Consider the following 16,556-nt stretch of genomic DNA (forward strand, 5'->3'; position numbering starts at 1 on the left):
ATACACGGTCTAATTCAACAAAAAGATTTAACTATCCTAAATACATATGCACCCAGCATCAGAGCACCCAGATTTATAAAACAAATACTATTAGACTTACAAAAAGAGATAGACAGTCATATAAAAGAGTGAGGGACTTTCAATACCATACTGACAGCAATAAGCTGTCAATGATGACAGATCATTGAGCTTGATCTGTCGATTTGATTATATAAACTTGACCAAATGGACTAAGAGACACCTACAGAACATTCCACCCAACAACCACAGAATATACATTTTTCTCATCTGTGCATAAAACATTCTCTAAAATTCACCATATGCTTGCCCATAAAGCAAGTCTCAATAAATGCAAAAAAAAAAAAGTCAAAATCATATTAGGATCTTCCCAGACCACAGAGGAATAAAATTAGAAATCAATACCAAGAGAAACTCTCAAAACCACAGAAGTACATGGAAACTAAACAACTTGCTCCTGAATGACTTTTGGGTAAACCATAAAATCAAGGCAGAAATCAAAAAAATGTTTTGAAATGAATGAAAACAGACACAACATACCAAAACCTCTGGGATACAGCAAAAGCAGTGCTAAGAGGAAAGCTTATAGCATTAATTGCTCAAATCAAAAAGACAGATCTCAAATTAACAACCATTAATGCCACACCTCAAGGAACTAGAAAATCAAGAACAAACCAAACACAAAGCTAGCAGAAGAAAAGAATAATAACAAAGATCAGAGAAGATTTGATCTCAATTAAATTGAAACCAAAAAAATCATACAAAGGATCAACAAAACACAAAGTTGGTTCTCTGAAAAGGTAAACAAAATTGTTAGACGGCTAGCTAGACTAACAAAGAAAAAGAGAAGATTCAGATAAGCACAATCAGAAATGATAAAAGTAACATTACAACTGATAACACAGAAACACAAAGGATCATCAGAGACTACTATGAACATCTCTAAGTGCACACACTAGAAAACCCAGAGTACATGAATAAATTTCTGGAAGCATACAACCCCTCAAGAGAAATAGAAATTCTGAACAGACCAATAACGAGTAATGAAATTGAATCAGTAACAAAAAAATGTAACAACTACAACAAAAAAAGAACCCAGGACCAGACGGATTCACAGTTGAATTTTATCAGATGTACAAAGAGCTAGAACCAATCTTACTGAAATCATTCCAGAAAATTAAGGAAGAGGAATTCCTCCATAAATAATTCTATGAAACCAGTATCATAATGATACCAAAATCTGATAAGAACACATCAAAAAAGAAAACTACAGGCCAATATCTCTGATGAACATAGATACAAAAATCCTCAACAAAATACTAGCAAACTGAATCCAACAGCACATCAAAAAGATAATCCATCACAATCAGATGAGTTTTATTTTAGGGATGCCAAGATGGTTCAACATATGCAAGTCAATTAATGTCATTCACCACGTAAACAAAATTAAAAACAAAAGACATAAGGTCAACTCAATAGATGCTGAAAAAGCATTTGATAAAATCCAACATCCCTTCATGATAAAAAAAAAAAAAACTCAACAAACTAGGCATCAAAGTAACATACCTCAAAATAATAAGAGCCATATATAACAAACCCGTAGCCAACATCATACTGAATGGGGAAAAGTAAAATGCATTCCTCTTCAGAACTAGAACAAGACAAGGATTTCACTCTTACAGCTCCTAAATAGCACAGTACTAGAAGTCCTAAACATAGCAATTAGGTAAAAGAAAGAAACAAAAGGTATCCAAACTGAAAAAAAGAGTGAAATTATCTCTGTTCCCTGATAACATGATCTTATACCTAGAAAAATCCTAAAGATTCCTCCAAAAGACTCCTAGACTTGATAAACAACTTCAGTAAAGTTTCAAGAAACAAAATTAATGTACAAAAATCAGTTGCATTTCTATACAACACTCAAGCTGCAAACTAAATCAAAAAGTCAATCCCATTTATTATAGCCACACAAACACACAAAATACCTAGGAATACACTTAACCAAAGAAGTAAAAGACCTCTACAAGGAGAACTACAAAACACTAATGAAAGAAATCAGAAGTGACACAAAAAATGGAAAAACATCTCATGCTCATGGATTAGAAGAATCAATACCATTTAAGTGACCATACTGCCCAAGGCAATCTACAAATTCAATGCAATTCCTATAGAATCAGCATTATTTTTCACAGAATTAGAAAAAACTATTCTAAAATTCACATGGAACCACAAAAGAGCCCAAATAGCCAAAGCAATCCTAAGCAAAAAGAGCAAGGCCAGAGGCATCACATTACCTGACTTCAAACTATACTACAAGGCTATAGTAACCAAACCAGCATGGAACTGGTACACAAATCGACACACAAGCCAATGGAACAAAATAGAGAATCCAGAAATAGAGCCACACACTGACAACCAACTGATCGTCAACAAAATCAACAAAAATAAACAATGGGAAAAGGACTCTCTATTCAATAAATGGTGCTGGGAAAAACTGGCTTGCTATATGCAGAAGAATGAAACTGGATCCCTATCTCTCACCATATACAAAAATTAACTAAGGATGAATTAAAGGCCTAAATGTAAGACCTGACACTCAAAAAGTCCTAGAAGAAAACTTAGGAAAAACTCTTCTGGACATTAGCCTAGGCAAAGAATTTATGACCAAGTCCTCAAAGGCAAATGCAACAAAACCAAAAATAGACAAATGGGAATTAATTCAACTAAAAAGCTTCTGCACAGCAAAAGAAACAATCGATAGAGTACATAACCTACAGAATGGGAAAAATATTTGCAAACCGAACTATGCATCCAACAAAGAGCTAATATCCAGAATCCATAAAGAACTCAAATTAATACAAAAAAAAACCATTAAAAAGTAGGCAAAGGACATAAACAGACATTTTCCAAAAGAAGACATACAAGCAGCCAACAAACAGGAAAAAATGCTCAATATCACTAATCATCAGAGAAATGCAAATTAAAACCACAATGAGATACCATCTCATACCATTCAGAATAGCTATTATTAAAAAGTCAAAAATAACAGATATTAGTGAGACTGTGGAGAAAAGGGAACATTTATACACTGTTAGCAGGAATATGAATTAGTACAACCCCTATGGAAAACATTATCAAGATTTCTCAAAGAACTAAAAATAGGACTACCATTTGATCCAGCAATCCCACTACTGGGTATTTACCCAAAGGAAAAGAAATCATTATATCAAAAAGACACCTGCATTTGTCTGTTTATCACAGCACTATTCACGATTGCAAAGCCAAAGAATCAACCTAAGAGTCCATCAGTGGTTAACTGGATAAAGAAAATGTGATAGATAGATAGATAGATAGATAGATAGATAGATAGATAGATAGATAGATAGATAGATAATCTGCATTCAATCTGATGAGTTATTACACATCATCTAGCCTCTGGAAAACTCTACTGTACTTTCATGAGAGAATGAGAGTTTTTAAAAAGACAGCTAATATCTTAGTATTGCTAGAAAAAAGTTTTACCCTTGCAGACTTCAAAGACCTACAAGAATTCTCACATTTTGAGACCTGCTGGTCTAGCCTGTTCCTCTCATACTCCTCTCTCTCTGCGTTTTTTTTCCCTCCAACCTAAATGCCGATTTTCAGTCTCTTTATCCTTCACTGCCAGCTTCTCTCAGTCCTGTCTTTTTACTTGCTTCCGCCTTTCCCATTCTCACTCATTTATGCATTTTCTAGTCCCCACTTTTCCTTCTCTTCCTTCTCTTCTATGAACACAATATGCAGCTGAAGTACCATTCTGTTATTTATGTTGATTTTTTTAAAGAACACCAGGTGAATGTTTTCTATTTCTCTACCAAACCAACAACAGAAGTCCTATAAAAGGTTGAGTTAAAGTCTCATCAGAGCAGAAACTGTGGTTCAGTCACTTTAGTATCTCCTGTAGCACCCAGCACAGTGTGTAGTGCAGTGGCTATAGAATGCTGGAGAATACCTTGGGCTGAAAATGAACAGTGCTGAAATTGACTCATACTCAGTACTCTGCTAAAGAGAGATGTTCAATAGGCCAGTGTATCCAAAAATTTAGCCTGGGTCCCCCATCAGTTAAATTTTAAAAAGTGTATGTGTGCACAGATGTGCATGTAGACATATAAAGTGAACATGTATACACACACATATTCATATAATGCTAAATTAACTTATTATGTATATTGAAATATAAACTTCTATTTGTACATATTGACTTCTATGCACACATTCATATATAAAATGGGTGTTTTCTGGTGGCAGTCCAAGGGATCATCTCTACCGCCCACTGGTGAACACACCCCACTTTGGAGACTATCACAACCTAGTGACCTCTCCAAGTCCTCACAGATAACTGCCAGGCTGGCATGTAGCCACCATTCCTCACTTCTCATAGAACCTCATGTAGATAAATAATAGGTTAAATGGAATGAATTTGAAGTCTTGTGGCTATCAGGACACCACAGGCTGGTCATGTTGGCCACAGTTTCAAAACTGAATTCTATCTATGGCATTGGCCCTTGTAGCTAGCTAGTCCACGAAAGAAAACTACAAAGCAAAATGCAGGCGGGAAGTAAGTAGTGTTCTTCTAGCTCCAGGATGAGAAAGAACACACTAATTCCTATTCTTAGGGTCTCTTTGGGATGGGCAGCCAACAGAAGAGCTTGGAGCCCCAGTGCTTGATGGGCTAATGGGAGCTAGCTCTGTTTTTTCCAAAAACATTAATATGTCCCTGCCAGTAGTAAAATGATCAGAAATCAGGCCAGGCATGGTGGCTCATGCCTGTAATCCCAACACTTTGGGAGGCCAAGGCAGGTGGATTACCTGAGGTTGGGAGTTCAAGACAAGCCTGGCCAACATGGTGAAACCCTGTTTCTACTAAAAATGCCAAAAACTAGCCAGGCATAGTGGCACGTGCCTGTAGTCTCAGCTACTAAGGAGGCTGAGACAGGAGAATTGCTTGAATCTGGGAGGCGGAGGTTTCAGTCAGCCAAGATCACACCACTGCACTCTAGCCTGGGTAAGCGAGCGAGGCTCTGTCTCAAAAAAAAAAAAAACAAAATGGAGAAGAAGAAGAAGAAGAAGAAAAAGAAAAAAAGAAATCAGCCTCAGTCCATCCTAGACAGAGGGGTTGGGCAGGAACAGTAGGCTGAGAAGACAGGCCGGTGTTGCTCTTGCTCAAAAGACCCCACAGGCTAACATCTTGGCTTGAAGATGAGTGGTGCTGACCCTCACACCTGCAGGTCAGAATCCCTCGTCCCCAGCCCCTGCACTGGCTGCCGTGTCACCACAGAGCCTTGGGGTTGCTATATTGCCTGTGGCCTCATGGGGGTGAGCACCTAGCATGGCTGGTGGGTCACCTGCCCTTGGGAAGCAGGCTTGTCCATTCAGAAGGTGTTTCTTCCTTCCCTGTCATTTTCTCAAGAGGCATCTTCCAGGCAATAAGAATGGCTCTCTTAAGAGACTCCTTGACCCTACAGTGCCATCCAGTCTGCTTCTATTGCACAGATTGTAGATGGGCTTCATCTTACACAGCAGAAGTCAATTCTCCCCTCTTTACTCTACTCTATTCACTCCTGCCTGTACTGTACGTGGCAGCTTATTCAGCATTGTCTTGGTCACTGTGCATAATACTAACATCTTAGGCCGGGCGCAGTGGCTCATGCCTATAATCCCAGCACTTTGGGATGCTGAGGCGGATCACTTGAGGTCAGGAGTTCAAGACCAGCCTTGAACTCCTGGTGAAACCCCATCTCTACTATAAATGGTGAAACTCCATCTCTACTATAAATACAAAAATTAGCCAGGCAGTTGCGGGTGACTGTAGTCCCAGCTACTCAGGAGGCTGAGGCATGAGAATAGCTGGAACCTGGAAGCATACGTTGCAGTGAGCCAAGATCGTGCCACTGCACTCTAGCCTGGGCAACAGAGAGAGACCCTGTCTCAAAAATAAATAAATACTAACACCTTATATTGGATCATACTTTAAAGCATGTTCACACTCATTATCTCATTTAATCATCCCAACATACATCAGAGTTTGTGAGCCAGCTGACAAACTAAAAAAAATCTTTGCTTAGTGAATCGCTGATGTAAATAAAGTGGGAAATTAATCTTGCTTAAGGAAACAGTTCATATGTACTAATTTTTTGTAAAATCAAGCACCTAGTTGTCTCTGCTTTGCTAAAAGACATTACACTAATGGGTGTTATTGTCTGCTCTTGTTAATAATAAAACTTGACTTCCCTAAAAGTAACCAGTAGTCAACATCACAAAGATATCAACTCTCCCAAAGTTAATTTATAAATTTTATTTTCAGCAGTGTCTGCAACTGCAAAACATAGAAAACTGAAATGTCCATTGACAGGAGACTGGTTAAAGAAATTATGGTGAAAGTATGATAAAAGTGTAGATACTCCTAGGAGATCCTAGAGGGAAAGGGTAGCATGTAGTTTTTAACTAAAGGAGTATTCCTAGTCTGAGAATCACCCCATCCAGATCATTACAGTGTGGCTTGTGGTGGGCCAGCATCTACCCGCTAGACACCATGGCAATAAGAGGCATGAAAATCAGGTCCTCTTGAAACTAAATTTTGTTGAGAGCCTAAGGAGCACCCTATAATAACAATCCCATATGAATATGACTGGAAATAGAACATAAATCATGTACGTATGGTGCACATATTTATAATTATTTGACTCCCATCCCTGAAATTTCAACTCAGCAAACGACAACACAGCCCCTGCAAACAGCAGGCATGTTTAACTTGCCTAAAGTTTACCTGAGGCATTTGGGTTTGTTCCCTAACTAGTCTCTACCTGGAACAGCTCCACCACTGAAAAGCTCAGGTTCTGAGCATGACCTCCCACCCTCTTACTTCCCCCATCCTTCCCACTGACCCCATTTCCAGCACCATTCAGGCGTCCAGTCTTCAGATCCTACCAGCTTCTTCAGTTAGTTTCTACCTTCCTGGCCTCAGTTTTTTTCTTCCTCAGCCAGTGACCCCCACAGTCATCACCACATCACCAGAACTATTCTCTCTCTCTCTTCCCCTCTCCTTCTCTCTTTGTGTCTTTTTCTCTTGTGCACACACACACATACACCAACACAGCACCCACCCTGGCAGGCCTCTGAAGCTAGGATTTGTCTTTTCTGTCCCCCTCTTAGCAATCGTGATTCAGGAGGTCTAAGGTGGGGTCAAGGCCCCTACAAGCTTAAGAAGCTTCTTAGGAGATGCTGATACGGATGAAAACATTGCCCCAGGATATCTAGTTTTCTGGTTAAACTATGTACTGGTACAAGGTTTGACATTCAAAATACTGGACAATTGTTGTGGAGCAACTGAAAAACCAATAAACAGCTTGTGAGGGTGACATTTGTTATAACCATTTTGCAAAACTCTCTGGCAGGGGACCACATGCACCGCCTGTGACAGCATCTCCTAGGTATCTACCCAGCGAAATGCATACACAGGTAGAGCCACATGCCACAAAACGACGTTTCGGTCAATGATGAACCACATATACAACAGTGGTCCCATAAGATTATAATATTAATATCATATTTTTACCACACCCTTTCCATGTTTAGGTACACAAATACTTCCCATTGTGTTACAATTGCCTACAGTATTCAGTACAATAACATGCTGTGCAGGTTTGTAGTCTAGGAGCAGTGGGCTATACCATAGAGCCTAAATGTGTAGCAGGCTGTACCATCTAGGCTTGTGTAAATAAAATCTGTGATGTTTGCAGAACAACAAAATCACCTAACGATGAACTTCTCAGAAGTATCTCTGTCGTTAAGCAAAATATAACCCTACCCTAAAAGACAAATGCAAGAAAGGCAACTCATATAAGCCCAACCTGGACACAGTCTAAACGTCTGTTGACAGTAAATGAATGAACCGTGAAATATTTGTGCCATTAAATACTATGTAGCTGTGAAAATCGACTAACCTCTGTGACACACAATATGGGTGGATCTCACAAACACAGTGTGGAACAAAAGAAGCCAAAGGGCAAGTGCCTTTTACCCCACTTATGTAACATTTAGTATCGTTGATGTAAGGACAGTAGTGAGCTTGGGGGACAGGGACGGAGTAGGGCTTGGGAGAAGGCATAAGAGGAGATGATTTGGGTGGGGGTAACACAGGTGTGTTCACTGTATGACAACTCATCAGGCTGTAGATTATGGTGGACACTTTTCTGCATATATGTAATATATCAATTTAAAAGTTTTCTATCTACAGCGCCCAGGGAGAGGGAAAACTATTCAGCAACACCCCTGCTGAGGCACAGCTGGAACAGGTGCCAGGCATGCCTAATCTGTCCACAAGGCACTGGTCCAGCTGGACTGCAGCCCTGGGTGGCCACCTGATCCATATTGACAAGGGGGCATTTTCCCTGAGCAACAGATTATCTACCCAACTTCCCACTTGATGTCTCCACCTGGAATTCCCACAAGGAACTCAAGGTAAACCAATCTCAAACTGAGCTCGATATCTAGGCCTGCCCCGCCTGGAGGGTAACTTTCTGAGTTTAGGCTACCATCACCCACACAAACTAGAAATCCAGGGCATGGGACATGGGGTGGGCTAGGAGGGGCATGTGGTCCCATTCACTTCTCCTTCATGCCTTAGGGCCAAGAGCTCCCATCAACTCCACCTGCTAAAACTGTCTGGTTCTCCCTGCCCACACTCCCACTCTCCAGACCCTCTTTCTCTCTCACCTGGGCTCTTATCTAGGTCTTCACTGGCCCCCTTGCCCCACTCGCTGCCCCTCCAATCCACCCTCTGCACTGCAAAACCCAAACTTCTGATACCCAAACTTTGCAAAAACACTCATGGAGATGACTGTAAGCTTACCTCCTGCCTCTCTCACTCTCATATTTTATACCCCCAAAATAATAAACCACTAAGTGGCCCCCAATCAAGCCATGCTAGTTCACATAAACACACTTTCCATGTGCTAGAAAGGTCCTAAGCACTCCTTCAATTCAAATTTCCCTTTCCCTTTTGCAAGAATAACCTCTTGAAAAAAAACCAAGCCCCATTTCCTTAGGCGTCTAGCATTCTAACACATCACTCTCTCTTTTACAAAGATTCTTGGCCCTCAGAGGTGTCATGCATGTACCCAACCTAGGGGTCCACCAGGACAACAGGCTTATAGATATGACACTCTAATGGAAAAATAATCACACAAACACAATCGGCAGAAAACCCAGAGGCGAGGAAAAGCAAGGGCGGCCAGAAGCCCCAGGGAATGGACCCATGCAATCTGAGTGACGGATGAAGAAAACTGCTTTCAGTCCTAGATTATACCATTCCATATAAAAGCATAACTGGTGGAGTCCATCATGGCTAAGAGCATGGACTCTGGAGCCAGACTGCCAAGGTTTGATCTTGGCCCTGTTACTTACCACCAGGGACCATGAGCAAGATCCTTAGCCTTTCTGTGCCTCAGTTTCCTCATCTAAACTATGGGCTTTGTGGGAATGAAATGAGTTAACACATGGAAAGCACTCTATGACACACCGTAGCTGTATATAAATGATAGATGTTATGATGTTCACACACTGAAGTCAAAAAAGAGCCAGAAAAACTCTATATACTGAAACAAAACAAAACAAAACCCTACCTCTATCCATTGATGAAGGTCTGCCACAGGCTCCACATTCCAACTCTAAACTTTTAAACCGTCTCTCCTCTTAACCCAGGACAACTAACTCAGGGATCCAGGTTCAGATCCTCCCAACACAGGTGCCTAAATTTCAGTCTTCTCAATTTCTTTTCATATGGAGCTTAAGCTGTGAAGTTTATGGAAACGATATGGTTTCAGGAGAAATCCTGGAATGGTATTTTAGTTCTTCTCAGGTATCCTGTTTTCCCTTTTTTTTTTTTTTTTTTTTTTTTTTTTTTTTTTTTTTTTTTTTTTTTTTTGAGACGGAATCTCGTTCTGTCGCCCGGGCTGGAGTGCAGTGGCGCAATCTCGGCTCACTGCAAGCTCTGCCTCCTGGGTTCACGCCATTCTCCTGCCTCAGCCTCCCAAGTAGCTGGGACCACAGGCCCCCGCCACCATGCCAGGCTCATTTTTTTGTATTTTTAGTGGAGACTTGGTTTCACTACATTAGCCAGGATGGTCTCGAGCTCCCGACCTCGTGATCTGCCTGCCTCAGCCTCCCAAAGTGCTGGGATTACAGGCATGAACCACCGCACCTGGCCTGTTTTCCCCTTTTAAAGGTGACTAGAATAGTGCTTCCTTATTCTAGAAATGACCAATGAGAAATGAGAGGTAATCAGGGTTCTCTACTGTAGGGGTCCCAAAGCCCCAGGCCATAGACCAGACTGGTCCATGGCCTGTTAGAAACTGGACCACACAGCAGGAGGTGAGCAGCGGCCAGCGAGCATTACTTCCTAAGCTCCACCTCCTGTCAGATCAGCGGCGGCATTAGATTCTCATAGGAACGTGAACCCCATTGTGAACTGCACATGCGAGGGATCTAGGCTGAGTGCTCCTTATGAGAATCTAATGCCTGATGATCTGAGGTGAAACAGTTCCATCCTGAAACCATCCTCCCGACCCCACCACAGGTCTGTGGAAAAAATATCTTCCACGAAACCAGTCCCTGGTGCTAAAAAGGTTAGGGACCAGGTCTGTGGAAAAAATGTCTTCCACAAAACCAGTCCCTGGTGCTAAAAAGGTTGGGGACCACTGCTCTACTTAACACTTTCACTAGGATCCCTTAAAGAGAGGACTAAATAATCATCACAATAACTTTCCTTTCTGTTTATAAAGAATAGATACCAATTAGAACAAATACCTGAGAAAAATGTGGTACTGTGTTGCAGTCACACAGTCTTCATCTTCTGCTATATAAGCAGTGGTTTGTTACCCTTTTCCCTCCTGTAAGCTGCTTTCACGAGTCAACCCTGACCACCAATATGGGAACTCAGGTAATGATAATAGCCATGACTTATTGAGAACTTACTGAATAATAAGACTTTTGCATACATTATGGTGGCCAGCTAAGAGCTGTCTCCTCAAACCCATTTGCCCCCTCTTCACCGTAGTGAGCTGTCACCATGGGTGCGCAGCTGCTCCAGGCACAGACAGGGAGCCCCATGCAGTGGATGACAGAGCTGTCCCACCTGCCAGGGTCCTTGAATGGTCTCGTGGCACAGATCCTGCTGTGGGCAGTTACTGGAGAGGCATAAACTTCCATTTGAGGAATCTGTTTGATTGGGCACTTTAGTCAAACACCAACTAATATAATTACCTCAGCTAATCCCTAAAAAACACAGGGGAACTAAGATGTAAGTACCACCTACCTCATTGAGTTACTGTAAGGATGAGAAACTGCATGCAGAGTCCTCATATACACATTTTCACTACTCCTATTTGAAAACATTTGTACTATTATTAGCCCCATTTTACAGATAAGAAAGTGGTAAATAAAATGCTCAAGACCGTATAGTTAATGTGTGGTAGCGCCAGAGTGGGAACTTAGACATCCAGCCTTAAAACTGATCTTTTAACCTCTGTGCTATTCTGCTTCCAGAAGGATGAAATGAGATCATACATAAAGAGCTTGGCCCAGCTGAGGAGCCGTCACCTAACCGTGCTCAGGAGTGCATCATGGTTGAGAGTGTGGGCTGTGGAGGTGATGGGCATCCAATGGCATCCAATTCTGCCCTGCTAGTATTAGATTTGTGCTTAGGCAGAAACCTTGGTTTTCTCATCTGTGAAAAGAGGGTGATACTACCAACCTTATAAGGCTGTAGTGAAGATTAAAGGAAGTAACATGTACCAACGGCTTATGACCGAGCCAGGCACAAGGCAGCGTTCAATGATGCAAGCAGAGGAAGAAGGGAACAGCTGGGGCTTCCTGCCCGTTTCCTCTGTCCTAACAGCTCCTTTTTGCAGACACTGGGAATCAAAACCAAAACGCATGCAACCTTCCACCTTGAAGAACAGCACCACATCATCTCTTTGCTAAGCCTGATTCCCGTTTTCTGGATAGGAAACTGACACACAAAGTATCTCCAGAATCATATCAGAGGTAAGTAGCAGGCCAGGATCGAGACGCAGCTCCAAATCTCCGGCCATAACGCTGCATGGCCCCTCACCCGGCTACCTCCCCTCTCAAAACACTCTGAGTCAGATAGAGGAGCTCTGTCCATGAGTGAACGAACGAATGAATAATTTAAATTTTTTAAATCAATTTGACAAATGAAAAGAGGGTGTACGGAGGTTAAACGTGGTTCCACCATGCGTTGGCTATGAGTCCTTGACCCCGCCAGCTTGTTTCCCAATCACTAAAATAAGGATTTGAACACCTCCTTTGCAGGGTCCCGGTGAACATCAAATGAAGAACTATGTGTAAGCGCCAGGTACAGTGTACCTGGCACGTATTAGGTTTTAATAAACGGCAACCAACTCTGACTAACGGTTGTCCCTGGGGAACACCTGCCAGGCACAGAGGGAGGCCCTACGGAGGCGCAGGGCAGAACTGGGCAGCAGCCGTCTAGGGAAGTGGCGGCGGATTAGAGAAACGGGCGGCCAGGCACAGGCACCCCCTACGAGTGAGATCTGGCCCCTCGAGCCAGATCTCCAGCCAGATGCCTCCAGCATCTGCTGCCGCGGAGAGCACGCACCAGGTCCCTCCTGCCCGGCAACAGGCGCACTCCGAGCGAGCCCAGCGCCTCTGCTCACCATGCCAGGTCCCGCTGCCAGAGGCCTAGAGGAGAAGCCCAGCTAGGGGCCGGCGTCTGGACGCCCGTGTCCCGACTGCGCGGGGTGAGGAGGAAGTGGAGATGTTTTCGGATCGCGAGCGCCGCGCGAGAACCCCGCCGCAACGGAAAGAAACAGACCCCTCGGCGCCGCCTCCCGCGTGGCGCCGCGGGGCCCCTCCCCCATACCTGCCGAAGTGCCCCACGTGGTCATAAATCCCCTCGAAGTGGCGGGACCCCATGGTGCGGCCGTGCACTGGGCGCCGAGTTAGCCGAGCTCCGGGGACTGCGGGTAGCGCGCCCCGCCCCGAACCTCCCCGCCCGGCCTCCTGCTCTCCCCGCGCGTCCCAGTGCTCGGGACCAGCGCGAGGCTGTATTCTGTTCCTCCCTCCGTCGCTTGGCCCCTCGGTCCCCCCAAGTATCTTCGGCTTTTTTCCTGCCGCCTCGGCCTCCTTCCCGGCGCGCTGTGGTCCCGGCGCCCGCGGTCGCATGGTGCCCTCGCCCCCAGCGCCGCCGCTCTCCCACCCGCCCCGCCGCCCACCCTGGCTCTTGGCACCATGTCTGCGGGGTCGCCACGCTCGAGGGAAGCCCCGACGCCTGGGAAAAGTTGTCGCTGAGAGAGAGCCCAGGGTGGGAATGCAAGGGCTAGGCTCGGTCCGGGGGCCGCAAGAATATATAGCCTTCAGCATGACGCCCCTCAGAAACATGGCTCTCAAACTTTAATGCCTAAGAATCTACTGCAGAACTTGGTTTAAAAGGTACATTTAAGGCCGGGCGCACTTGCTCACGCCTGTAATCCCAGCACTTTGGGAGGCCGAGGCGGGCGGATCACCTGAGGTCGGGAGTTCAAGACTAGCCTGACCAACATGGAGAAACCCCGTCTCCACTAAAAATACAAAATTAGCCGGGCGTGGTGGCACATGCCTGTAATCCCAGCTACTCGGGAGGCTGAGGCAGAAGAATCGCTTGAACCCTGGAGACGGAGGTTGCGGTGAGCCAAGATCGTGCCATTGCACTCCAGCCTGAGGAACAAGAGTGAAACTCCGTCTCAAAAAAATAAAAGTACAATTAGGCCGGCGTGGTGGCTCAGGCCTATAATCCCAGTGCTTTGGGAGGCCGAGGCAGGAGGATTGCTGGAGCCAAGGAGTTTGAGACCAGCCTGGGCAACGTATAGCGACACCTCGTCTATACAAAAATAAAAAATAAATAAATGTACATTTATTTTGAGACTCCATCCCTGATGATTCAGGATGCCTGGGGAACAGGAATCTGATTTTTTTTTTTTTTTTTTTTTTTTTTTTTTTTTTTTTTTTTGAGACGGAGTCTCGCTCTGTCGCCCAGGCTGGAGTGCAGTGGTGCAATCTCGGCTCACTGCAAGCTCCACCTCCCGGGTTCAAACCATTCTCCTGCCTCAGCCTCCCAAGTAGCGGGGAGGTGCCCGCCACCACGTCCGGCTAATATTTTGTATTTTTAGTAGAGACGGGGTTTCACCGTGTTAGCCAGGATGATTTCGATTTCCTGACGTCGTGATCCGACCGCCTTGGCCTCCCGAAATCTGATTTTTAATAAGCAGACCATGGCATTCCAAGCCACACTTTGGAGTGGGCAGGGGTTTGGCCCATAGCCAACCCAGGCAGGGGGTGACCTTCCTTCTGGAAGGTATCAAGTGAATGAACTTTAGGGAAGAAAGGTCAATTGCTGGTCCACAGCGCTGAAGCAGAAAAGCCAGTTTCCGACTATATCCACAGTGAGAGTTGCCTTCTCTAGTCAGCCTGGCAGTCACTGGCCCCACTGTTGGCGTGCTATTCCACTCTATAAGGCCACTAAACCTTGAGTTCCTAGAGAACAGGGATGCATTCTCTTCGTCACTTTGGTAGCCTCAGTTCCATAGCAAATGCCCTCTCTCTGAACTTCTCCACCTCATCCTTAAAATCTGAGCACACCTATCGCTTTCTCAGAGAAGTCCAACAGTTTGAGGGCCAGGGCAGAGCTCTACCAGAGCAGAGCATCAAGAGTGGGTCTGATGGCTCCGAGAAGCGGCAGGATCTTGCAAGGCTGTGTTGAACATTTTACTTTGACCAAAGGACAAGGAGAACTCCCTGTAGACAGTCTTAAAGCAGAAGAGTAACAGGCGCAAACTTGTACTTGAATAATATTTGAAAGAGAGGAGAGTCCATTTCCCAAAGTGCTTCCCTCCCCTACTTGTCACAGAGCCTACAATAACACCATTAAAAATTGACTTATTTTTGTTATGCACAATCCTATCTAGACATTCTCTTCTGAAACATAAATACTCTTGGAAGGACTAATCCCTTAAGTAATAAACAACTTGGAGAGGGTTTTTAAATTAGATAGTTTCCTGCTAACTAAAGAGACTTAAGAAAGCCTAAGTTCTTCAGGTGAGGAATGCTAGAGGGATACAAGGTGGGGGGAAGATGAGAGGGTAGTGAGGAGTAGTTATGTCAAGGGCTGAGCCTAGGAGGAAAGGTGGGGGCCATGGCAGCCAGTCAAGACGCCATATTGCTTCAAAGCACCAAAGGGAGAGTTACCTGGAAAAGATATGGAGAAATTGAACTTTGATATGAACACTATTCTTATTACACCAGATAGAAATGTCACAATATGGATAAAATGGACAAATTACTGAAAAATACAATCTAACAACACTCAAGAAGAAATAGATAACCAAAATAGGCCTACATCTATTAAAGAAATTGAATATGCAATTAAAAACCTTCTGATATAGTTTGGATGTTTGTCCTCTCCAAATCTCGTGTTGAAATGTAGTCCCTAATGTTGGAGGTGGGGCCTGGTGGGAGGGGTTTGGATCATGGATCCTTCATGAATGTCTTGGTGCCATCCTCCCCAGTAATGAGTGAATTCTCAGTTATGAGTTCACACAATATCTGGTTGTTTGAAAGAGTCTGGAACTTCCTCCTCCTTCTCTCTTGTTCCTTCTCTCACCATGTGATTCAGGGACCGCTTCATCTTCTGCCATGACTGGAAGCTTCCTGAGGCCCTCAACAGAAGCAGATGCTGGCACTATGCTTCATGTACAGCCTACAGAACCATGAGCCAAATAAATCTCCTTTCTTTATAAATTATCCAGTCTCAGGTATTCCTTTATAGCAATGCAAATAGACTAACACATGTTTCCACAAAGAAAACCCCAGGGTTGGCCACGTGCAGTGGCTCACACCTGTAGTCCTAACACTTTAGGAGGCTGAGGCAGGAGGATCGCCTGAGTCAAGGAGTTTGAGACCAGCCTGGGCAACATGGTGAAACCTCATCTCTATAAAAAATGCAAAACATTTGGCCAGGCATCATGGTGCACGCCTGTTATCCTAGCTACTTGGGAGGCTGAGGTGGGAGGATTACTTGAGCCTGGAAGGTCGAAGCTGCAGTGAGCCGTGACTGGGCCACTGCACTCCAGCCTGGGTGACACAGTGAGACCCTGCCTCAAAAAAAAGAAAAAAGAAAAAGAAAAGAAAGAAAGCCCCAGAGTCAGACATTTAAGGTAGAAATAATATTGATTCTGCACAAACTGTTCAAGGAAGTTGAAGATGAGTGAATACGTCCCAAATCACTGAATGGTCCAGCATTACTCTGACATCAAAACCAGGTAAAGACCTTACAAGGCAAGAAAACTATACACCAATATACCTATATGAACATAGATGCAATAATTCTCAACAAAACTTTAGCAAATTGGATGTCTCTTTATATTTAAAAGGACAAGTACATCATGAGCACATGAGATTTATCACAAGAATGCAAGAGTGAT

The 16,556-nt window shown here is 43.9% G+C and overlaps 1 protein-coding gene and 1 long non-coding RNA gene across 11 annotated transcripts in view; one reads left to right on the forward strand and one right to left on the reverse strand.

Annotated features, from left to right (window-relative positions):
• The window catches only part of SLC22A16 (solute carrier family 22 member 16), a 51,927-nt gene extending 38,874 nt beyond the window's left edge, over positions 1 to 13,053 (reverse strand). For 7 of the 10 annotated variants that reach the window (XM_011536211.3, XM_047419435.1, XM_011536208.4 and 4 more), the window contains exon 1: positions 12,962 to 13,053. In XM_011536211.3, the coding sequence (XP_011534513.1) occupies positions 12,962 to 13,014 (53 nt within the window). In that variant the 5' untranslated portion in view covers positions 13,015 to 13,053. Of the gene's footprint in view, positions 1 to 9,680; positions 9,850 to 12,697; positions 12,893 to 12,961 lie in introns of those variants that run through there. The other 3 variants (XM_011536209.4, XM_011536204.4, XM_011536207.4) reach the window with 3 other exon arrangements.
• Positions 11,957 to 15,876, forward strand: LOC105377938 (uncharacterized). The gene is made up of 2 exons (XR_942860.3): positions 11,957 to 12,102; positions 15,749 to 15,876. It is a non-coding gene; the product is annotated as an uncharacterized LOC105377938 (long non-coding RNA).
• The last annotated feature ends 680 nt before the right edge of the window (positions 15,877 to 16,556 follow it).

Source organism: Homo sapiens, chromosome 6 (assembly GCF_000001405.40).
Source record: "Homo sapiens chromosome 6, GRCh38.p14 Primary Assembly".
Classification (NCBI taxonomy): Eukaryota; Metazoa; Chordata; class Mammalia; order Primates; family Hominidae; genus Homo; species Homo sapiens.